General features: G+C 43.0%; 1 non-coding gene across 1 annotated transcript, besides 6 other annotated features; it reads left to right on the top strand.

The window, feature by feature from the left end:
• Positions 1–5,742: 5,742 nt before the first annotated feature.
• Positions 5,743–5,826, top strand: MIR5702 (microRNA 5702). Its single transcript, NR_049887.1, has one exon. It is a non-coding gene; the product is annotated as a microRNA 5702 (primary transcript).
• Positions 8,396–8,596: a silencer, noted in NCBI's record as "peak4063 fragment used in MPRA reporter construct". NCBI's record gives its function as "represses an SCP1 promoter by STARR-seq MPRAs in K562 erythroleukemia cells {active_cell/tissue: K562}" and the evidence as "EXISTENCE:reporter gene assay evidence [ECO:0000049][PMID:32103011]".
• Positions 13,510–14,423: an enhancer, noted in NCBI's record as "OCT4-NANOG-H3K27ac-H3K4me1 hESC enhancer chr2:227514829-227515742 (GRCh37/hg19 assembly coordinates)". NCBI's record gives its function as "activates a minimal SCP1, AML or CMV promoter by ChIP-STARR-seq in naive H9 embryonic stem cells {active_cell/tissue: H9 hESC(naive)}" and the evidence as "EXISTENCE:reporter gene assay evidence [ECO:0000049][PMID:30033119]".
• Positions 14,063–14,152: a silencer, noted in NCBI's record as "silent region_12388". NCBI's record gives its function as "represses an Ori minimal core promoter by ATAC-STARR-seq in GM12878 lymphoblastoid cells {active_cell/tissue: GM12878}" and the evidence as "EXISTENCE:reporter gene assay evidence [ECO:0000049][PMID:35858748]".
• Positions 14,109–14,403: an enhancer, noted in NCBI's record as "tiled region #2633; K562 Activating non-DNase unmatched - State 24:Quies, and HepG2 Activating DNase matched - State 5:Enh". NCBI's record gives its function as "activates a minimal TATA promoter and a strong SV40 promoter by Sharpr-MPRA in K562 cells, with weaker activation in HepG2 cells {active_cell/tissue: HepG2 | K562}" and the evidence as "EXISTENCE:reporter gene assay evidence [ECO:0000049][PMID:27701403]".
• Positions 14,293–14,422: an enhancer, noted in NCBI's record as "active region_17193". NCBI's record gives its function as "activates an Ori minimal core promoter by ATAC-STARR-seq in GM12878 lymphoblastoid cells {active_cell/tissue: GM12878}" and the evidence as "EXISTENCE:reporter gene assay evidence [ECO:0000049][PMID:35858748]".
• Positions 14,424–15,339: an enhancer, noted in NCBI's record as "OCT4-NANOG-H3K27ac-H3K4me1 hESC enhancer chr2:227513913-227514828 (GRCh37/hg19 assembly coordinates)". NCBI's record gives its function as "activates a minimal SCP1, AML or CMV promoter by ChIP-STARR-seq in naive H9 embryonic stem cells {active_cell/tissue: H9 hESC(naive)}" and the evidence as "EXISTENCE:reporter gene assay evidence [ECO:0000049][PMID:30033119]".

Genomic DNA, 23,346 nt, shown 5'->3' with positions numbered 1-23,346 from the left:
TGTCCCCGTAGGAGGCAAAAGGGGAGCATTTACCCATTGGCTCCTGAACCACCTTGGTCAAGGGTGATTCCCATGTGTATTGGCTCCCTGTACCTCTGGGTGGCCCCTCCATGATGGCTGGGCAGTTCCCATGGAAGAACTGGGCGGCAGGGTCAGAGAAACCCAAGGCAGGAAGAGAGAGGCTCTAGGCATTGGGCCAAAGTGAGGCATTGCCAGCTGGCACCTGGGAGAGCCTGGTCAAAGCCTGGCAGAACTGGACTCTGAAAGAAGTGGCTGGAGGAAGAGGTGGGCCCAAGAGGATGCATAAGTTGTACACAAGTGTAGGCCAATCCAGACAACTATTTAAGTTTTAAAATTTCTAATCTGCCGTCCCAGTTGAATTATTATCCTGCTGAATATGTTTTGATAAACATAAGAATGCTTTCTTTGAGAGATAGGTGCAGGAATTGGTCCAACATCAGATATGGCCTATCCAGGGGATCAGATAACGTTTCTCACATCTTTTATTTATTTATTTATTTATTTATTTATTTTTAATCTTTGCTTTGCTATGTTTTGTTTTCATCTACCAGCGGCTCTTTTTCCACATGGCAGGAAATATGGATCCTGGCAACTCCCTCTGGGTCATTTGTCCTACTCTTTCCTTTTGCTCCTGGGCACACAATTAGACTATTTTTCCTGGCCTTCCTTGCAATTAGGTGGGCGCATACAATGGTTTCTGATTAATGAGAGGTGGGCAGAAGAGATGCGTGTCACTCCCTCCCAGGAGTCTTCACCTCAGGTCTCTTTCCCCCAGCTGCCAGGAAGCTGCAGGGGATTCAATGAGGACTCCATGGTTTAGGGGATACAGGGAGACTTGGTGGAAGGCCACCAGCATATACCCACATTGGGCCATTAAGTGAGTAAACAAGCCAACAAAAACCGACCTCTACAGTGTTAAGCCACTACAATTTTGGTGTTGTTTGTTACAGCAGTTAGCTTGCCCTGGCTAATACACTTCTCATGATCCATATATCAGTATCCATTTTCAAAAAAATATCTCATTACTTCAATTTGGGTCACTTGACTACTCTCTGGACTAATCAGAGTTTCCAGGAAGTTGGGGGAAGGTAGGGACTTTTAACCCCCAGCAGAAACATGTGGAATGGGAATAGATGGTTTATAAGATGAAGAAAGAAGGGACAGGAGGAAAAAGAAAAGATGACATGGCAGTTGTTACAGGATCAACCCTAGAAGGCAAGGCATCTGCTATGATTTGAATGTGTCCTGCAAAAGTTTATGTGATCCACAATGCGGCAGTGTTGAGAGGTGGGACATCTGAGGGGTGATGGAGTCATTATTGGATTAATGGATTAATAGGCAATTGAGGGAGTGGGTTAGTTATCACAACAGTGGGTCTGTTAAAAAAGCCAGTTTGGTTGTCTGTCATGAAGTCCTTGCTATGTAATGCCCTGCACCACCTGGGTTCCCTGCAGAGTCCCCTCCAGCAAGAAAGCCCTCGCCAGATGCAGCCCCTCAACCTTGGATTTCTCAGCCTCCAGAACTATAAGAAACAAGTGTTTTCTCTTTATAAATTACCCAGTCTCAGTCATTTGGTTATAGCAACAGAAAATCAGCTAAGACAGCATTGGAGTCCAGACTCAGCTGTGCCATAACCTATGTGTGCAGCCCTGGGCCTGGTACTCACCCAATATGGGCCTTGCCTCCTTGGTACCATAAAAGAATTGGTTTAGATGGTCTTTCATGCCTTTTTAAACTTTGAGATTATTTAGTCATAAAATGATCAAAAATTAAACTGGACAGATTCTACTCTTTTCTGGGTAGACTGAGTGGTACTTCAGAGGATCTTTCTGCCCCTCATTTTCACAAGTGTCATGGGAAACATGGGTCTTTGCCACCCATTCTCGGCACTGTCTTCTACTAGGCCAGTGAATCCAAGCGACGGCTGTGGAAGGTGCACATCCAGAGTATTGCAATCACCCACGTGCCAGGCAGAGGAAAAACACAGGTGGCTCTTCTGCTGCCTCTGCACCTGCAAGGCAGATGATCTCTCATCACAACTTAATTCTCAGACAGGGTGCTTTGAATGGAGGCAGCAAGGGAGTCCAGGGTCAGAGCTGTTTCCCTTGTGGATGGTTTCCGTGGTGGCCCCATCTCAGAGATCTCCATCTGTCTTCCTGAACAGTGGGTGTTCTGGAGGAAATAGTTATCCTGCACACTTGATGGATGGATATTTACTCAGGAAGGGGATTTATTCCAGATTTAGAGATGGCAGAGGCAGGTCAGTTCCATCGTGGGCAGCCATGTGCAGTGGCCTTGTGGGCAGAACTGAGAACAGAGGGACCCAGTGAGAGGACATTTCGAGGAGCATGCCATATTGTCCTGAAAGGGGCCAGGCAGTGAGAAATGACATTTAGAGGGATTTATAGGCAAAACAACAAGGTGCTAAAAATAAACAGTAATACTCATGCAGTGAGTCACTTTAGAGGCATGTATAAATTCTTCGCTGACACCGTAAGAACGTGGGAGAACTTAGCACATGAGGAGAGAGCGGGGAATGGAATTGGCGTGGACGGGGGAGGCGCAGATGACCTGCTAGTTGGTTCTGGCTAGATGATCTCTGCCCCACTTCTGTGAGGAGGCATCTGTAGTCACAGATAGAAGGAGTGGTGGTATTTTTAAAGTGAACTGTTGCGATGATATCTGCTTAGCTTTCTCATGCTAATCTCTTTCTGTGGTAAGTCCTTCTAAAGTTATTGATTCATAGCAGGGGTTGCACTTTAAATCTAAGGGATCTCTGCATGTTAGGAAGATTAAGGGGTGGGGAGTAGAGTTCACACACGTTGGCATGAGGGGCCACATTGTGTCTTGGGAGAAGGATGTCGTTGAGAAAAAGGCTGGGTTCGTGTTCTAAGTTCAATAGAAAACAACTCAGCATTCTGGGGGCAGGGTTAGTGTACAGGAACTACTCTCTTGGTGACTTTTTGGAAACGGATCCTATAAACACGTATTTGAGCTGGTGGGGTGTGTGTGTGTGTGTGTGTGTGTGTGTGTGTGTGTGTTTGGAAACGAAACACATGGGGAGAGTGACATTCATTAAAAATGTCTGGCCGAGCGTGGTGGCTCACGCCTGTAATCCCAGCACTTTGGGAGGCTGAGGCAGGTGGATCACGAGGTCAAGATATCGAGACCATCTGGCCAACATGGTGAAACCCCGTCTCTACTAAAAATACAAAAATTAGCCGGGCGTGGTGGCATGCACCTGTAGTCCCAGCTACTCGGGAGGCTGAGGCAGGAGAATCGCCTGAACCGGGGAGGCGGAGGTTGCAGTGATCCGAGATCGTGCCACTGCACTCCAGCCTGGTGACAGAGAGAGACGCTGTCTCAAAAAAAAAAAAAAAAAGTCTAAGGCATTCTTTCCTCCCTTAATTCCTTTCCTTCCCTAATTATTTGTTGAGCACCTACTATGTTCCAGGGCTGGCACTTGTCCTTGGAGCCTAGTGATAGGTACTCATCCTGCTTATATTTGAGGGGAACAAGATCCAGATGTACAAGGTAAAGCAAGCAAATGTCAGCTGGTGATGAAGACATAATCAGGTTAATGAAACTGACAGGGATTAGGGGCATGTGGGGGTGGGATTTCTTGGTGAAACTTGAGAGATGACAAAGAGCCAACCCTGCAAGGAGCAGAGTGTTTCAAGCAGTGAGAATGATGATTGCAGAGGCCCCAAGGAGGGAAGGAATTGGCATGCTCTGTGACCTGAAAGGAGGCCAGAGAGGATGAAGCAATAATGAACAGGGTTAGAGACAGGAAGTGAACTGGTCATTTGGAGCAGGGTTTCTCAGCTGCAATGCTACTATTGGCATTTGGGACTGGAAAATTCTGTTGTTGGGAACCAGGCTGTGTATTAGACGACATTTTGCAGCATTCCTGGCCTCTACCCACTAGATGCAAGTAGTTTTCCCCCAGCTGTGACTGCCACAAATGTCCTTTGGAGTTGAGAATGACTGGTTTGGGCTGTAAGCCCACCAAAAGGGAGGTGGGACCCCAAAGGAGAGTTACTAAAATGTCAAACAAAAAAGGCGATGGGTAATTTTATGTATCTGCTTGTCTGGGACACAGTACCCAGAAATTTGGTTAAACATTTGGATGTTTCCTCGAAAATATTTTTTAAATGAGATTAACGTTTAAATGAGTAAGTGCTGAGTAAAGCAAATTGCCCTCCATAATATGGATGGGTCTCATTTACCCAGTAGAAGGCCTTAAAAAAAACAAAGACTGACCTCCCCACAGAAGACAGAATTCTGCCAATAGACTGCCTCCGAACTCTGCAGTGTCATCTCTTCCCTGGGTCTCCAGCCTGCCGGCCTACTCTGCAGATTGGGGACTTACCCAAATTCCCTAAAATTGCACACCAGACCCCACTTTCTTTATACACACACACACACACACACACACACACACACTTTCCCTTTCTGTCTCTCTCTCGCTATTGGTTCTGTTTCTCTGAATATATATATATGTATAAAATACACACACAGACACACACAAACACAGACATACACTCTCTTTCTATTTCTCTCTCGCTATTGATTCTGTTTCTCTGAATATATATATATATATATATATATACATACACACACATATATAATACACACACAGACACACACAAACACAGACACACACACTCTATTGGTTCTGTTTCTCTGAATATATATACACACACACACTATACATGCACACACACTCACACATTTCTCATCTCTCTCTCTTTCCTATTTTCTCTGTTTCTCTGGAGAATCCTGACTACTAGACTACTACAGTCACTATTCTTCTCACTTTGGCACTGAATCCAGGGATTCCTGTGACCATTGTGTCGGGCGGTGCCTGGTAGGTGGAGCTGGCAGTGGAAGTGGCTGAAGCCACCGTATAGCCTCAGGACCCCCACAGAGAACACACACTTTGGCCGGGAGCGCAATTTTCTTGTTGTGGGGCCCAGAGCAGGGCTGGCAATGAGGCCCTGTCCAAAGCCTCACAGTTCAGAGAGGCCTCATGGAAAGACGGTAGGAAATAGCTGCAGTAAGGACAGGACAGAGGGAATTGGATGGTTTCTGGTGCACCTGAGGTCACCCCTGGGAACACTCTTACTAATGAGTAGATAGGATTTTCAGTGGGGCTAGAGATATATGAGAGGAGGTGACAGTCAAGGAGATAGGGCCACTGCTATTTTGTGGTGATATTTTTACACCCAGGCTGATGTAGGGGAACTGAGGATGGAGACAGAGGAGAAATATCTCAATGTGAGTGTGACTTAATTATCTGGTGGTCCTCAAATGGTGCACAGATAAGTACAGACTATGTACTTGCAACCTGGCTGCTGGCTAACAAAAAAGAGTGGCTGGAAAGAGGTAATATACACACAGGTGGCTATTCTCTACACATTTCCTGCTCCTTAGGGACTTAGAGAGTTGCTTACGTTGTCACACCAAAAAGCACTTTCTTTTCCTGAATATTCAGAAGTTGGATTCTTTCTCAATAGAGGCCAGAGTGAAGAGGAAAAGTGGTTTCTTCTCTGTTTCCTGTTAGGAAAACACATAGGTTTGATGATTTGGACCGGAGATTCAAGAGAAGTTTCTTTTTATAGATGTTGGTTTTGGAGTGAGTTCCAGCAGTCATTACAGGTATCTCTCCAGTTGTCTCAGTAAACTTGCTGTGACTTGGCCTTAAGAGGAGGTTTGGCGGCCTCAACTCCTGGGATATGTTGCTGATCCAACCTGAAATCCTTCTGTAGGTTGAGTCAGCAACATATCCCATGACTTTTGGGTGATAACTTCTTTTATGTAAGACCACAAAGCAAATGGCCCTTTCTCCATAGTGTTGAATTTCCCAGAGGCTATGACCAGGGATTAGATGGAAGTAAAAAAAGTTTAAGAGAGACTGCTAAAAAGCATTGAGTAGTACATAACTTGGCTTAGTCAAGCTCTTCAAGTGTTTGTGGAGAGCCAATAATACCATGGGTAATTGAGAAGAAAATGTGTTTATTTTCACACATGGGGATAGCTCCAGTGGAAATGAATCCCTTTAAATATTTTAATTTCAATGTACTCCATATTATAAGAGCTGCACATACACACACTCATACATTTAGTTTTTGGCTTGTATTGCTTTTACTATGACTGTAGTTTTGCAAACTTGATGTTACATAAGCACATAAAAGTTTTTCTTAAAAATGATGCAATTTTATCAAAATGATCTAAATATAAAATCTCAAAAAAGGCCATGTCAACACATAGTTAACCAAGTAAATGCAATTCTCACTGTTTGGGCCTTTATAAAAAATAATCTATAGTAGTACATATTTTGGGATATATGTGATTTTGATACATGTGATATTCATCACTCCATTTGTTTTTGTTGTTTGATATATGTGTATAATGTGTAATGATCAAATCAGGATAATCGGGATATTCATCACCTCCATTATTTATCTTTTCTTTGTTTTGGCATTTTGATAATCATTCTAGTTCACTAGTTCCTCACCTTCTCCCCCATGGATGCCGTTAATGGCTATCCTTCCTGTTGGTAATGGCCGCTCATACCAAGTTGCTGCATGGATAATTCTGCAATTTCCAGCTCCAAATCCTCTCCTTTCTCATGTGTTGATCTCAGATGCATCAATACTCTGCTGACCCAATATCATGGTTGGCAACAGCTGATCTACCTTGTAAGATGGTCAGTATGATAAAAGCACATTCAAGCAATTCAAATAAACTGGTGACCTCAAACTCTAACATGCAGTTTGGTATCATGCGGGTCTGTTCATTTCAGTGTTTTATTTAAATAAGAGGCATAGTTTTGTCAAACATTAACAAAAATTGATATTCCTTAATGGGGGAGTGTTTGTAGTAGGACAAAAACTTTGTTCTTTGTACTCAAGAGACCTTGATTTACAGTCAAATCCAAGAGGCTTTGAGCAGGTTACTCAACTTATTCTACATTTCAATTTTCTTATCTCTAAAGTGATGCTAACAATGATTGTCACTAACTCATACACAGCCTTCTTGTCGTAGTCACAATCAATAATGAGTGAAAGTGATTTGTAAGTTTCAAAGCACCAGGCATACGTAAGATTGCATTCATTCACCAATAATTATTGAGCACTTACTGTGTGTTGACAACTTTAGTTTAATCCGAGTTTAATATAGAGTTTAGGGTAAAAACAAGGTCCCTACCATCAGCGATTGCACTATGAGAAGCCCATGAAATAAGAAGTAACTAAAATTCTTTGGCCCCCACATGAAAAGTAATAAAAATTTAAATTCTGTGATAGATGAATTAGTTTCACAAAGCTTTAAATAGCATTAATGATTTTATTTTTGCACATTGTGTTCCATTTTGTTTTTGAGCCAAGTTGTAAGGTTAACACAGTATTTATTAAAATAGAACTCTTTCTTATTTTATAATTACAATAGAGAATCATTTAAATAAAAGGCTACAGGTATGCAAAAAGTAGAAACTGCAAGTACTTTGACTGGAACTGGGTATGAATCCCAGCTTTGCTCTTACTATTAATAGCTATGTGAGTCCATGAACTGACAGTTTCCTCTTCATCAAAATGGGGTTAATAAATATGAAAATTTTGTGAGAATTAGGAGAAAAGTGATTTAAAATGCCAAGCATAATAATTGGTGGGTATTTAATAAATATTTTATGTTTTCTACCTGTATTTTTACAGTTATTTTGAGTAGAATTAATTTTATATGTAATAGAGTGATCTGAAAAAATCCCAGTCTCTATGATATATATTTGCTTATTTCAGGTTCTATTTTTGCATAACAAATGTCTCGAAATCCTCAGCTCTCAGTGGAAGGGACTTCCTGGCCATTTACCAACTAACTGTCTCAAGGACTTTTCAGACAGTTGATCATTAACTCTCAGAAAACGCCTAACCCATAAATTATTCTGGCTGCTTTAAATTTTTGAGGAAAATGCACATTAATTTTTTTGTTTGTTTTTGCATAGCTTTAACCTCTAACCACAATAATTTCCCTGTGCGCACAAACAGTAAAGTGTCTTTTCTGAGTACTTAAAGACTGGGGCAATCAAAATCAGTAAATAATACAGTTTCGCTTTCATTATTCTTGGAATAGTTTTATTGTAAATTAGGAAAAGAAAATTTGCTGGATATAAAAAGCAAAAAATGTTTTGTCTTCTATTGGTTTCTTAAGTGTTGTGACTCAGAGCATATTAGATGAAATAACTTCTTCACTAATCAAAATAGATTATTTGCTCCTCAATTAAACTAGTAAATTCCAAAGAGATACTGAAAGTATGTCTTGAAAGTTTTTTAGGAGTTAGCATGACTATCATGGTGTCACATGCAAAGAAATGTCCTTCTTTTGTGAAGGAGGTTGGCATGGCCACACAGCCTGGACTTTGGTGTTGTAAGAACCATTTTCACACTGGACTGCAAATCATATTCTGTGATCTAGGGAAGTTAGCCAACTTCTTAGAACTTCAGTTTTCTCATCTCTCACGTGGGGCAAACACTGTCTGCCTCATGAGAAAGTCTAGAAGACTGCATTGGAGTATATATTCATATTTCCTATACACAGTGGACATGAGTAAATGTTTATTATTTCTCTGCCTCCCCTAACTAAAAATGCTAGGCTAGGTGATCTTAAAACTAAACACCCCTCATTTGTATGGCAGGTTACAAAGTGCTTCCACATACGATATCTCCTTTGATTTTTCAAAACAACCCTGGGAAGTTGGTAGGCTTGGACTTAGTATTGATACTATTTTACAAGTAAAAAGACAGTGCTCAGAGAGGTTATGAGACTTAGTAGCCCAAAGTCACTTGGCTGGTGAAGAAAGATGCTGGGAGAAGGTGCAGGCCATGTGGCCCCAGAGTCTGTGGTTTCCCCACTATACTTTGTAGGGGCCCATGGTTTTGTGGAAGATCCAAATGGCAAACTTGAATATATTCTTGTTATTTTCAGATGACAATTATATCAGTCAGGGTTCAACCAGAGAAGCAGAACTGGTGTGAGATTTATCACAACAAATTGGTTTATGCAATTGTGGGGACTGGTTAAGCAGGCCTGGGGTCCATAGGGAAGATGGTCAGAAGGGAAGTAATGAGCATGCCAGAACCCCAGAAGCATGAGCTGGAATGTGGAATCTTTCAACTCAGGGAAGGTCTAGGCCTTTCTACTGATTAAAGGACTTCCATCTTGATCAACAGGACTTCCCTATTAATTAACTTAAAGTCAACTGAGTAGGGAACTTAATTACACCTGCAAGATCCCTTCACACTGGCACCTGGATAAGAGTTTGCTGAATCACTAGGAGAAGGTAGGTACATGCTATAATATGGCTGCTGCCCCCTTTCCATCCTCCTTCCAGGAAAGGATATTCTTTGTAGGCCATGCTAGCCAGAAACAGACTAGAAAGAGAATTCTGGGGATTGTAGTTCAATTGATCCAGGTTGAAAAGTCGCAAAGCCAACACAATAACAAACCAAAGCCCACCACTGAAATGTCTTTCTCTAGTAATGTATTTCTCTGGTACCTGTGCAAACTTTCTAGTCATTGCAAGAGGTACTTGAGCAAACTGGACAAACTGATTGGTCACCATGAGTTTACTCCTAGCATTTCTGCTATCAGGTTCCAATGACAGAGCTTCTTTGCACACTGGATCTTGTGGACTGGATTTCTGGAAGATTCCCAGAGAAGTTCCACATTGAGAGTGTTTGTTGATAGATAGCACAGGTGCACATCTCACAGTTGAACTCGAGGTGTTTAACCATTTTAGGCAAAAGCAAAACAAAGCACAAACAGCCAAAACAAACAAAAAGGGGCAACTGTAGTGACAATAGTATAACAAGACCAACAGCAACACTAGAGAGTTATTAGTTCAAGTTTTATATTCTTCCCAGGACGACTGGGATTATTTGCTAACAGGGAAAGAAACAAGGGATGGCAAACCTGAGTACAAACCAGCCATTTACCTTTACCAGGCATCAAATATTCCTTTGCCCTTTTGCCTGGCACAATATCCAAATAAGTAGTTGTATTAGAGTTCTTCAGAGAAACAGAATCAGTAGGATGTTGTGTGTGTGTGTGTGTGTGTGTGTGTATTTATTGTAAGGAATTGGCTCATGATTATGGAGAATGCCAAATCCCAAGATCTGTAAGTTGGCAAGCAGCTGGAGATCCAGAAGAGACAATGGTGTGATTCCAGTCTGAAGGCTGGCAGGCTTCAGACCCAGAAAGAGCTGATGCTTCACTTTGAGTCAAAAGGCAGGAAGTAACCAATGTCCCAGTTCAAAGGCAATCTGGCAAGAGGAGTTCCCTGGTATTTGGGGGAGTTAATCTTTTGTTCTATTCAAGTCTTCGATGGATTGGATGAGCCCCATACATGTTAGGGAGGGCACACTGCTTTAGATGTTAAAGTCATCCCAAGACACCCTCACTGATATGCTGAGGATAATGTTAGACCAGATATCTAGGTATGTCATGGCCCAGTCAAGTTGGCACGTAAAATGAACTATCACAGTAGTTTTAGTTTACACCAAGCATAAAAGAAAATCCCAGTTTCCCAGAGGAGCACGAGTACTCATTTATCAGGATACCTGTGTTTTTCCTCTGGCTCTCTCAGCTCAGGGTATTCCAACTACGCTTTCCTTCATGCCTCCACTCCCAGTTATTTGCCCAGAGACATAAAGCTGAGCTTTACTACAGTCAGTTACTTGGGACAGCTGTCTACTACTCTGGGAAGTAGTAGCTATCTACTACTCAGGCAAATAGGATTATCTCCCATCTTGAGAGTACCCAATAGTGGGAAGGCTGCCATGAAGGAACATCAGGCATTCTTGCTGTTGCTCTGATTTGTCTTAAACAGAAATGCTGCACTCAGTCAGTGCTGACTATGATCTGTCTTGTTGGTTTAGCTAGTGGGGCATTAAGGAGCATGTGGGAGAGAGGGTTTTGGTGGATTGCAAAAGTGGCCACAATTTTTTATGCCTGGATTTGACTCTGAAACTCCTCTTATCAATAGGTGGAAGTGATTTCCCCACTTCTTGAATCTAGGCTGACTCTGTAACTTGCTTTGGCAATGGAATGCGGTGGAAATGGCAGTGTGCTAGTTTTGAACATAGATTCCAAGAGGCCTTGCACCTACCTTTCTTGCTCCCTTTTGGAACACTGCTCAGATAATTTATGAACAAGCCCTGGCTAACCTATGGAGGATGAAAGATTTTGTGGAATAAAGACTAGCCATTGTAGCTGATACTCTTCTAGACCAGCCTACCTCAACTGGCTTAGCAGCCAACCACAGACCTATTTACAAATCCAGCTAAAACCAGAAGAACTGTCCAGAGGATCAGAGATCACAGTTCTATAACCAACCTGAAGAACTGTGAGCTAAATAAATGGCTACCATTTTAAGCAACTATGTTTTGTAGTGGTTTCTTATATAGTAAAAGCTAACTGATAAGGAATGCCTGGAGTGGCATTCCTTATATAGGTTCCCTGAGCATTTTTATGGTTCCCAGCTTTGGAGTAAAGAATTAATAGAGTATTTCTTCTGGCAGAATCAATAGGTTTCTTCCCCCTAGAATTTTTTCTGATGTAGCCTAGCTCCTAAATTCTCCTGACTGGCATATGTATAGACTTAGGTTGTTTGATAGGATTTTCAAATTTTGGCATAGAATCCTGGATGACATAAGTCCGTGGGCTTTGAATATCTGTTTCAGTAGCTCTTCCATGAACCCTGACTTCTCTCTTTTCCTTGTTCAAGGAAACGCAGGTTCTAACTGGCCAACTGGTCGAGCAGTTAATAACTACTCTCATTTCCTACTGCATTCATAATTTACTGTTGAACTTCCTTGACCTCAATGGCGTCACAGATTTGAAGAATTACAGAGCTGTTTAGTGGAAGTGAAAGAACAATTTCACAGGAGATTCATAGATTTTGATGACTATGAATCATATCTTAAGAATTTGTGGCTACCTTTGAAGCACAAAACCACGGGATGTGTCTGAGTTACTCAGGATCAATGTTATTTCTGTGGTTCAGTTTCCCAAAGATCTGACTGAGCTGAAAATGGACCATGCTCACCAAGACCACTGGTAAAAACTTTGGGTATATTAACCAGAATTATTTTTAAATTTCTGGCCACACTGCCAAAATCTTGCTGAACTTTGGGTTTTCTTGACTTTGTGGAAGTGTTTCTTTCATGGAACTGCTGGGATCAAAACTGCATCTGTCTTAGGGATGCAGATTGTGGCTGGGAAATGAGATGTGTCTTAACTTAAAGAATGTCTGAGCTTCTTCAGAGTAGCTCAGTTTAAAATGTTTTCTTATTGACTGATTGAGATGTGCAAGCGGCTGCCACCTGACTTGTAAAAATGGATTTTCAAGTGTATTTGTTTTTTAGATAGCTTCATACTGAGTGAAGGAATACATAGCCTGGAATTTCCTCTAATTATAAGCCTAATCCAGTTAGTGCACAAATCTGGCAGATATTTTAGTGTAATACAAATTAATGTTTTCGTTTGCTTCACCTGATTTGTTTAGTTGAAACTTAAATGTGTTTTAAATGTGAATTTTTAGTAACTATGTATCAATTGCAACGATCAACAATTTTTTGGAGAAATCTGGTAGCTTTACTCTCCTATAACCTTGCATGTTTTTGAAATATTTTCTACTATGATTGCAAAATGATACTACTCTTCAACTGACAAATCACCTTCATCCTTTATCAAAAACATCTTCCTCTAAGAAGCCTAGTTTCAGTTTGGCAGAAGAGAGAGGCTATACGTTTTTAAGGGGTGACAATATGCTTTTAGCTCAGCCAAGCCTGGTTTATTAGACCTTCAATTAAAATAATGAGTTCAATGGCTATTTAGTTTATTAGTGTTTGTAGTAGTAGTGATGGTAGTAGTGGTAGTAGTACTACTAATTACATTTATTGGGCACTGGGTAAGACTAAGTAAAATTAGCTAGGTCATCTCATTTAATCCTCATAGCAATTCTGTGAGGCAGGCATTATTATTATCCCCATTCTAAGATGAGGAAACTGAGGCACAGTGAAGTCAGATGACTTCTCCAGGTGGTAAATCTAGAAAACAGAACAGTTCAGGCCCAAACAGTGTCATTTGACTCAAAACTCACAGTTGTCCCAAAATACTATACCAGCATACTGTCTCTTACCTAAATAGATTGTCTCGCTGTAATAAAACATGAATGGCTAGTGGCAACTCTTTTTGAGCAGGCAAAATGGATGCTTAAAACTTAATGTCAGTCATTCTAACTCTGGTTTAAGCACCATTGTAGGTGGGGTCCTGGAACAGGTTATGAAGAATGGTTATGAAGAATGATGTCAAGTCTGCCATCTCTACTGGATCATGCTCTGAAAGATCTTTTAGAGTTTAGACCCATTCATGGCAAAATGGAATACCCTAGAAGTAGGGGAGAGAGGCAAAAAGAAAGGGAGAGAGACTGAGAGAAAGGGAAAGGAAAAGAGAGAGAGCATGCTCCATCTTTACCACTATCAAGGAATCATTGACCATCCTACATCTCTCCAGGTCCTTCTCAGTGACCCAGGACATCTCAGTACAACGTAGTATTTCAGTCTCACTGCCTGAAATATTAAAGGTCAAAACACATTTTAAGGTGTTATCTCTTTCCTGTCTCATTCTAATCAATTTTGTACATAGCTGGTTTCATTTGAACTCAATCATTGTGATTTGCCCCTTATGGGCAGCTACAATTAATCAAGTGCATGTTAGTCAACATAGTTTGTGTACACCACATAATGAAAATCCCATGAAATTTAGGCATTTTGAATGTTTTAAGAGCAAGCCTCAGTGAGACTTCCCTTGCAGAACCGACTTCCCAGCTGGAGGGAGATGCATGGCCCATGCCTTTCCCAAACAAATGTGTTTGTGACATTTCCCTGTGTAAACGCTGACTTTGTTGGGGGGAAATCTGTGGTGCCTGGAGAGATGGGAGAAATAGATTTCGGAAATGCTAATCTAGGGGAGCAATCCGCAGTATTGCAGCCTGCTGGGGCTGTGTTCTGCATGCTCCCCACAGCTGCCTCTGAGCGAACTTATTGACAAAGGCGAAGGAAGCTTACAGTGCACCAGGATGACTCACTCCACGTTTACTGGGTGGTTCACACGGCTGCCTGCTTGCCGGAACAGGAAGGCCCTTATTGTGCTCAATTGTTTTCCTGAATGCCTTTCTCAACAACAGCAAAAGGAAACATTACTTTTTGGCTTCCAGCCATCCTGGCCACTTGGTACTTCCAGTGCTTAGAATGCAAAAGTTGGGCTCAGCCAAGACATGCAGAGGCACAAGGCTGCAGTTATTTCTGTCTGTGTTTCAGATTAACCACTGCCTTTTGCAGTAAACAATCCAGGGTGATTTAAGACAACGGGAACTCCCTTTACTAGCAACAGCCCCGACCCGAGTTTGACCGTTTGTTTTATGGACTTGTTTCATGTACAGTAACCCCATGGGGGGCCTTGACACCACCACCCACTGAGTTGCCTGAATAAAATAGAAAAGGCCCTGCCTGTCAGTTACCTCCTTCTTGAATCTGATTGTTCCAGAGATACTGTGAGGGAGGGGAAAGTGCAGCCTGGAGAAAAAGGGAAGGAGGAAACCAGAAAGTTAACAGCAAAGGGAATAGAGTCAGAGTGCTGGGGGCTCCCCAGCCTCTGGATGTAATCACAGGCACAGTAAGGGCTAATGGTGGTGGTTTTACCCTTCCATGCTCTTGCATTTGATGTCTTTCCTGTGCTCAGTGACAAGTCTGAATCTGTCTTCCCCTCTGGACACCTTGGCCTGGTCCTTTACTGGTTCTTCAGCTGCTGCTGCCCTGGAAAGGCTGTTATTTTTTAGCTCAAGGGGCCAAAGTTATGCTGCAGTTTGTGGCCAGAAAATGGGGATGGGAGATGAAGTGGCAAAACAGAGTATCAGCAGAGTAAACAGACAACCTACCAAATGGAGGAAGATATTCACAAACTATGCATCTGACAAAGGCGAAATATGCAGAATCTATAGGGAACTTGAGCAAATCAACAGGTAAAAAACAACCTCATTAAAAATGGGCAAAAGACATGAACAGACACTTCTCAAAAAGGACATACAAGTGGTCAAAAAACATGAAAAATTGCTCAGCATCGGTAATCATCACGTGTCCGGAATTGGTGGGTTCTTGGTCTCACTGATTTCAAGAATGAGGCCGTGGACCCTCGAGGTATTACAGTTCTTAAAGGCGGCGGGCGTGTCCGGAGTTTGTTCCTTCTGATGTTTGGATGTGTTCCTTCTGCTGTTTGGGTGTGTTCGGAGTTTTTTCCTTCTGGTGGGTTCATGGTCTTGCTGGCTTCAGAAGTGAAGCTGTAAACCTTCATGATGAGTGTTACAGCTCCTAAAGGCAGTGTGGACCCAAAGAGTGAGCAGCAACAAGATTTATTGCAAAGAGTGAAAAAACAAAGCCTTCACAGTGTAGAAGGGGACCCAAGCAGGTTGCCACTGCTGGCAGGGGCAGCCTGCTTTTATTCTCTTATCTGGCCCCACCCACATCCTGCTGATTGGTCCATTTTACAGAGAGCCAATTGGTCTGTTTTACAGAGAGCTGATTGGTCCGTTTTGACAGGGTGCTGATAGGTGTGTTTACAATCCCTGAGCTAGACACAAAAGTTCTCCCCCTCCCCACTAGATTAGCCAGATACAGAGTGCTGATTGGTGTAGTTACAAACCCTGAGCTAGACACAGAGTGCTGATTGGTGCATTTACAAACCTTGAGCTAGATACAGAGTGCCGATTAATGTATTTACAATCCCTCGGCTAGACATAAAGATTTTCCAAGTCCCCACCAGATTAGCTAGATACAGAGTGCCGATTGGTGCATCCACAAACCCTGAGCTAGACACAAGGTGCTGATTGGTGTGTTTACAAACCTTGAGCTAGATAGAGTGTGCTGATTGGTGTATTTACAACCCTTAGCTAGACATAAAGGTTCTCCAAGTCCCTACTAGACTCAGGAGCCCAGCTGGCTTCACCCAGTGGATCTCACACCTGGGCAGCAGGTGGAGTTGCCTGCCAGTCTGGCGCCGTTTGCTTGCACTCCTCAGCCCTTGGGCGGTTGATGGGATCAGCACCGTGGAGCAGGGGGCGGCACTCATTGGGGAGGCTCAGGCCGTGCAGGAGCCCATGGTGGGGTGGGGAGGGGAGGCTCAGGCATGGCAGGCTGCAGGTCCTGAGCCCTGCCCCTTTGGGAGGCAGCTAAGGCCTGGTGAGAAATCGAGTGCAGTGCCAGTGGGCTGGCACTGCTGGGGGACCCGGCACACCCTCCGCAGCTGCTGGCCTGGGTGCTAAGCCCTTCACTGCCCGGGGCCGGCAGGGCTGGCCAGCCACTCGGAGTGTGGGGCCCGCCAAGCCCATGCCCACCCAGAACTCTAGCTGGCCGGCAAGTGCCATGCGCAGCCCCAGTTCCCGCCCGTGCCACTCCCTCCACAACTCCCTGCAAGCGGAGAGAGCCGGCTCTGGCCTCGGCCAGCCCAGAGAAGGGCCCCCACAGTGCAGCAGCAGGCTGAAGGGCTCCTCAAGCGTGGCCAGAATGGGTGCCGAGGCTGAGGAGGCACCGAGAGCGAGCAAGGGCTGCGAGGGCTGCCAGCACGCTGTCACCTCTCAATCAGAGAAATACAAAGCAAAACCACAGTGAAATACCACCTCACACGAGTCAGCATGGCTATCACTTGAAAGTCCAAAAACAACAGATGCCAATGAGACTGCAAAAAGAAGGGAACACTTATACGCTGCTGGTGGGAATGTAAGTTAGTTCAGCCACTGTGGAAAACAGTCTGAAGATTTCTCAAAGAACTTAAAACAGAGCTACCATTTGACCCAGCAATCTCATTATTGGGCATATACTCAAAGGAAACTAAATCATTCTACCTAAAAGACACATACACTTATATGTTCATCGCTCCACTATTCACAATAGTAAAGACATGGAATCAACCCACGTGCCCATCAGCGGTAGATTGTATAAAGAAAATGTGGCACATATACATGACGGAATACTAAACAACCATAAAAAGGAAAGAAATCATGTCCTTTATAGCAACATGGATACAGCTGGAGGCCATAATCTTAAGTGAATTAACACAGGAACAGAAAACCAAATACCCTATGTTCTCACTTGTAAGTGGGAGCTAAATATTTAGCACACATGGACATAAATATAGGAAGAATAGACACGTGGACTACTGGAGGGAGGAGGAAAAAAGGGGGGTGTGGGTGGGTAACTCCCTACTGGGTACTATGCTCACTACTTGGGTGGTGGGATCCATACCCAAACCTCAGCATCACATAATATTCCCATGTAACAAACCTGCACATGTACCCCCTGTATCTAAAATAAAAGTTGAAATTTAAAAAAAAATGTTTCGGCCCAGCATGGTGGCTCATGCCTGTAATCCCAGCATGATTTGGGAGGCCGAGGCAGGTGGATCACAAGGTCAGAAGATTGAGACCATACACTGTGTTAACCATAACAGGGTTAACAGAGTAAAACCCTGTCTCTACTAAAAATACAAAAATTAGCCAGGCGTGGTGGGCACTTATAGTCCCAGCTCCTCTGGAGGCTGAGGCAGGAGAATGGCGTGAACCCGGGAGGCGGAGCTTGCAATGAACTGAGATCGTGCCACTGCACTCCAGCCTGGGCAACAGAATGTTTCTCTTTTCAACTCAGTATTGCTCTGGGCCTCAAGTGGCCCCCACTGTGTTCACAGTCTTATGCACCTACCGTGTCATGGTTTTCAGAGCTACTCTGAGCTTTCTCTGTCCAGGTGTTCAAGCTGGAGGCCACGGAAGGTGCGTAGGAAGGGTAGGGGTGGCAGGAGGAGGCAGATTCCACACTGTTCCTTCTGGCCTCTCTGCTCCCTTTTCCCTTCCTCCTTTCAGGTTCTCCTGCACCAACTCCACCTACGTTACCAGCACAGGATCTGGAGCTCACATGCAGATTATTTCATGCCAAGGTACACAAGTAACCCTTCCTAGGCCACCTGTTCTGACCCACCTGAAAGCTTAAATCAGTCTGGGCTCACCCAGAGCATCCTGCTGCATGAGCTCCTTCCAAAGCCCCCAGGACTTTTGCCAGTCTTTAGCAACATGGATCCCTAAAAATCAGGTTGTTCAAAAGTGTTCCATGTTCAAAATAGTTTGAGAAACTAGATTAAAGGAAAGCAAGCAGGTTCTTGGCAGCAGGACTCCTCAGATACATGGCTGTGTTGCTGCATGCTGTGGCTCTGCAATGAGGCTCAAGTATGTAGGGTTCTCTTGTGCTTTAGACTGGTTAAGCGCCAATGCCAAAGAGGGAACAAAGGATTGGTACTTTTCCTTCAACTGATTGGGCCTCTCTCAGAGAATACAAACTCACAAAATGAGAGGAAAAGTACAGCAAACTTTGTGGCTGCCTTTAGCACCCCTACGCCTACTGGTGGTAAAGGGAAAGTCCACTCTGGAGAGGGGAAGGGTCACTGCTTTCAGACCCTGGGCAGGGTGACATGCATGGTGCTGGTGGGTGGAGCCAGCCACATCTGCATTTAATGTATAATACTTCACCGGGTGTAGGGTGGGGATAGCCAGTATGGTGGCAGGTCCCATTGGAGCAGCAGCAATAGGTTGGTTGTGGGTCCTGCTACATCAGGCTGTTTTTGGGAAAGGACCTGAGGCCTCGTCCTTTGGCAGGACAAACTGGTAGAGTCAGGGCTGCCAATGAAAATAGCCAAGCTCATACAAGCTAGGGTGCATAGACTCATCTAGCTCATGATTCGCTCCGGTACATCAAAAAGCCAGCAAGCCCGACAGCAGCAAAAAACAAGTCACCGTCTTAAATTCAAACATCATATTTGTACACAAATTATACTGTCAGTGTGTTCTAAGCAGATGGAATCATCTTGTTCATTTCTTGGGGCCAGAGTGATAATCCCATTTGGTGGCCGGGCATGGTGGCTCATGCCTGTAAACCCCAGCACTTTGGGAGGCCAAGGCAGGTAGATTGCTTGAGCCCAGGAATTTAAGACCAGCCTGGGAAGCATGGCAAAACTCTGTCTCTGCAAAAACAACAAAAATTAGCCAGGCGTGGTGGCTCACTCCTGCAGTTCCAGCTACTCAGGAGGCTGAGGTGGGAGGATCGCTGGAGCCCAGGAGGTCAAGGCTGCAGTGAGTTGTGATCGTGCTACTGCACTCTAATCTGGGTGACAGAGTGAGACCCTGTCTCAAAAAATAAATAAATAAATAAATAAAAGAAAAAAAGAAAAGAAAAGAAAGATAGCATTTGCCTAGAAGCCCAAATCCTGGGAACCAGAGGTGAAGGGGCAGGCCTGGAAATACAATCAATATACAATTTAACGTTGGAACAACTTCCACCTTTTTATTTTTTAAAGAAACATCTCCTATTAAAATCATTTAGAAATAACATTTCAGGGACCCCAGTGAGGAAAATGCTTGTCTGTATAGAGCTGAATGTTGTTTGTTCTCTATAGAAACAAAAGATATTCTTAGCATACCAAAATCAGAAATGAACATTTAATCATGAGGGAACATGATGAGTAAGTGTGCATAGGAAATGTTATCTTCCAACCTCCTTCCCTTTTATGTTATATCCTAAACAAGCTAAGTGAAAGAAGATAATTCTGGATAGAGGGTGAAGAGGCAGGAGGTGCTGAGTCGATGGCCATGTTCTGACTTGGGTAACTAGTAAACAACAATCGGCACTCACTGAGAATGGGAACATGGGAAATGGACATATTGTTTGGAGGAGAAGGAAGATAGAGAGTTCCTTTTGGACAGGCTTTAGAGACTTCTAAGTGGAAACCTCCACTAGGCAGGAAATGTATGAGTCTGGAGTTCAGAGACGTCTGGGCTGGAGGCATAACTTCGGGTCAACAGAGAATTGAAGCATGAGTGTGCATGAGATCATTGGAGAAGGCAGTTCAGTGTGAAAAAGGGCCTTGGCTGGGCTGCAAGAGGAGAATGGACAGAGACCAGGCAGGGAGGCTGCAGAGATGGGAGGAACCCGAGACTCCAAGTGCACCCGCAGTTCTCAGCAGATGCACGTTAGCCTGTTTGATTCATCATTTAGCAGGACAGTGTGGATTTGCATTAAACAGTGGGCCCAGTTTTCTTTAAAAATAATACCTTTCATTTGTATACTAGAGTTTTCGAAGTGCACTTTCAGTGATTTTATTTCATTAAAAAATTACATTCTTATAACAAACCAGTGAAGAAGTCATAGATGGTGTTACGTGCCCTGTTTCAATAAGAACATTCATGCTCATCTGTGGGAGAGAAAGGGAGAGGGGAGTTTGTTGTGACTGGGCACTCGTGTCTTCAGGGCACATGATTTACCTCACTCTCGGTTCACTGCATTGTGACTTCTCTTGTATACACACTGGTTCCGCTTTCCTGGGGGATAGTACAAGTGGGCAGGAATCGTGTCTCAACTCTCCTCCCAACTCCCTTTCTCCATCCAGCACCTTCTTTGCAACTGCAAAGTATCTGATAAATTGAAGTGTGGGGAGTTGAATCAATAACAGGACAAAGGCTTTGAAGCCTTCAGCAGCAGCTCAGCAACTCCTGACCCTACTACACAATGATGGCAGCACAGAATAGGGGATTTTGTTCTGATTAGCATTAGGAGAAGAGCAAATGGTAATGTATTCCACAGGGTAGTCTTCCTAGGGAATTCAACATGACGCGCTCAACAAACACTTCTTGAATCACTACGTCTTTTTACACAATCCCCCCTCCTTTTTTTTCCCTTTCTTTCCCTAATCATACACAACTGTGTGGGAATTTGCTTTTGAAATTGAATGAGGGAAATGCAGTGTAGCAGTCTTCTTTCTTTTTTTTTTTTACAGTTCAAAAAAATCTGATTTTAATTTTTTTTTTTTGGTATTACATTTTGTACAATTTTGAATTGATTTCTCCTGAGTATAGACAATTGATGGATTCCTGTTATTGGCCTCTGTCTGCCCTGGGATATGAAAAATGAAGGCAGTTTAAACAGCACAGAGGAGGGAACACAGGCTTTGGATTCTGTTGTCTGGAGTGGACTCTGGGTGACCTCAGGCCAGTTCCTTCCCTTAAGAGTCTGTTTCTAGGGCTTGTAATGAGAATTAAGTGAGATAAGACATAAAGCTAGTGCATAGATATATACAGCTTATAGTACGTGCTTGATAAATGTTTATTTTCTTTCTACTCCGTCTATTCTTAACCCTGACACATATTTCTTATGTAACCTGGAGAGGGATCTTTCAACACTTGGGCATAATAGTCTGTACCTGTCATTTAGTACTTCTTACGTTTTCTTCACTGGCCTGGGCTTTCCCACAGTAGGTTCCAAGCACCTTGAGGATAGAACAATATGTTTTATTTTTAGGTGCTTTCATGCCCAATCACCTATAATTAAGCTCATCATCAAGTAGGAGGTGGTCAGATACTTTTTAACTAACTTTGCTTGATTTCACCTGTCATGTGGTGATAATGACTGCATTTGTCCCTCTGTAAGAAATTAATTAGAAAAGTTTTTTAAAACTTCATGTCTCCTCAGATATTCGTGACGGAGATTTAAGGTGGTGTTATTGTTGCTATTGATTTATTCCATGCTTTCTTTAATCTGGAGACACTCGGATCTATACTCATCACTCTTCTCTTTGCATGGCAGGATTCCCAGCATAATCAGCAGATTAGCAAACAGTGATGTTTGTGCAGAAATGAAAGTCACTCAGAAATAAAGTGACTATATAATTTGTTGTCCAAATTGGGACACATTTGAAAGTGAAGAGAAGACCTATTAATGGTTGTGTTGGCTCCACAGTGGGAACCAGGGCTATCCAGGACAAGTCAAGTTTTCCTGGTTCTGGCAGATGGGTATCAAGGTTGTTTCTGCCTTGTGACAGTCACCCCAAACTAGCTGCGTTGCTACTACATTGAAGCAATTGCAAGACTAATTGAATTTTGTGGTGTGTTTCTTTTTTTTTTTTTAACCCCTCTGTCATTCAGGCTGGAGTGCAGTGGTGTGATCTTGGCTCAGTGTAGCCTCTGCCTCCCGGGTTCAAGCAATTCTCCTGCCTCAGCCTCCCGAGTAGCTGGGATTACAGGGGCACGTCACCATGCCCAGTTAATTTTTGCATTTTTAGTAGAGACGGGGTTTCAACATGTTGCCCAGGCTGGTCTCGAACTTCTGAACTCAGGTGATCCACTCGCCTTGGCCTCCCAAAGTGCTGGGATTACAGGCATGAGCCGCTGCACCCGGCCAAGACTAATTGAATTTTGTATGCATGCTGCAGCATTCATTTAATGTGTATATTTCTTTACCTCTGTCTAAATGTGGCACTGTGTTGGCTAAATTAAGTATATTATGTTGAAGAGAAATTCCAGGCATAGCAGGAGAGACATTACATGATCTCTTAATCATGCAACTCACAATTTAATGATGGCCTCAGGTGCAGTACTATGGACTTATTTCGCCTGTGTTTCTGCCCTAAGCTCTCTGATGTTTCTCCAACCCTAGGGCAGCATGTCAGTCTTAAGAATTTTGTCTGAAAGATGACATAATCAGTTTTACTCTAGAATTCATTTACAATTTAATTGTAGAGTTCGAGAGAAATTTCTTTGCAAACAGAAGATGCATGAACGAACCACCAGAATTATTAATTCTATATATTTTTTATAAATTGATTTTCCTCATTTTGTTAGAAGTTGCCTCTCTAAGCACTTATAATGTCTTCAGTGATATAGTAATAACCATTGGGACAGTAAGTCTGCCTTTCATGAAAGGCAAATAAATCCAGAAAGAATTTGAAATAAAGAAGGATATTTAAACTGAATCACATATGAGATTGTTGCCTGTTTTCCAGATGGAAATCAGATGCCTTCTGATGAGCAATCACCCTGTGAACATCTTTTTCATAAATAAAAATGATCTTTTTGACCAATAATGTAAGAATCTCTTTTTGCCAGTTCCCATCGAGCAATAAAATACTGTGGCCTGAATCAAAGGCCTAACAATCACTTATAACAATGCTTTATAGCAAGTTTGGTTCATTAGGATATTGGGAAGAGAACAGAACATAAAAGAAAATCAGGTTCAAATCCATTCCTTGTCTTTTGCTGATCTCTGGCTTTAGATTAGTCACTATCACCATGGCCCTCAGTATTCTGACTTATATAAGTAGTTCTTTTATGGACCCAGTGAGATAACATGTGCCCAACATGTGTGTCCATGTGTGTCTGTGCATCTATATATGTCCATCTGG

The sequence above is a fragment of the Homo sapiens genome, chromosome 2 (assembly GCF_000001405.40).
Source record: "Homo sapiens chromosome 2, GRCh38.p14 Primary Assembly".
NCBI lineage: Eukaryota > Metazoa > Chordata > Mammalia > Primates > Hominidae > Homo > Homo sapiens.
This window is presented reverse-complemented; position numbering and strand designations above follow the sequence as displayed.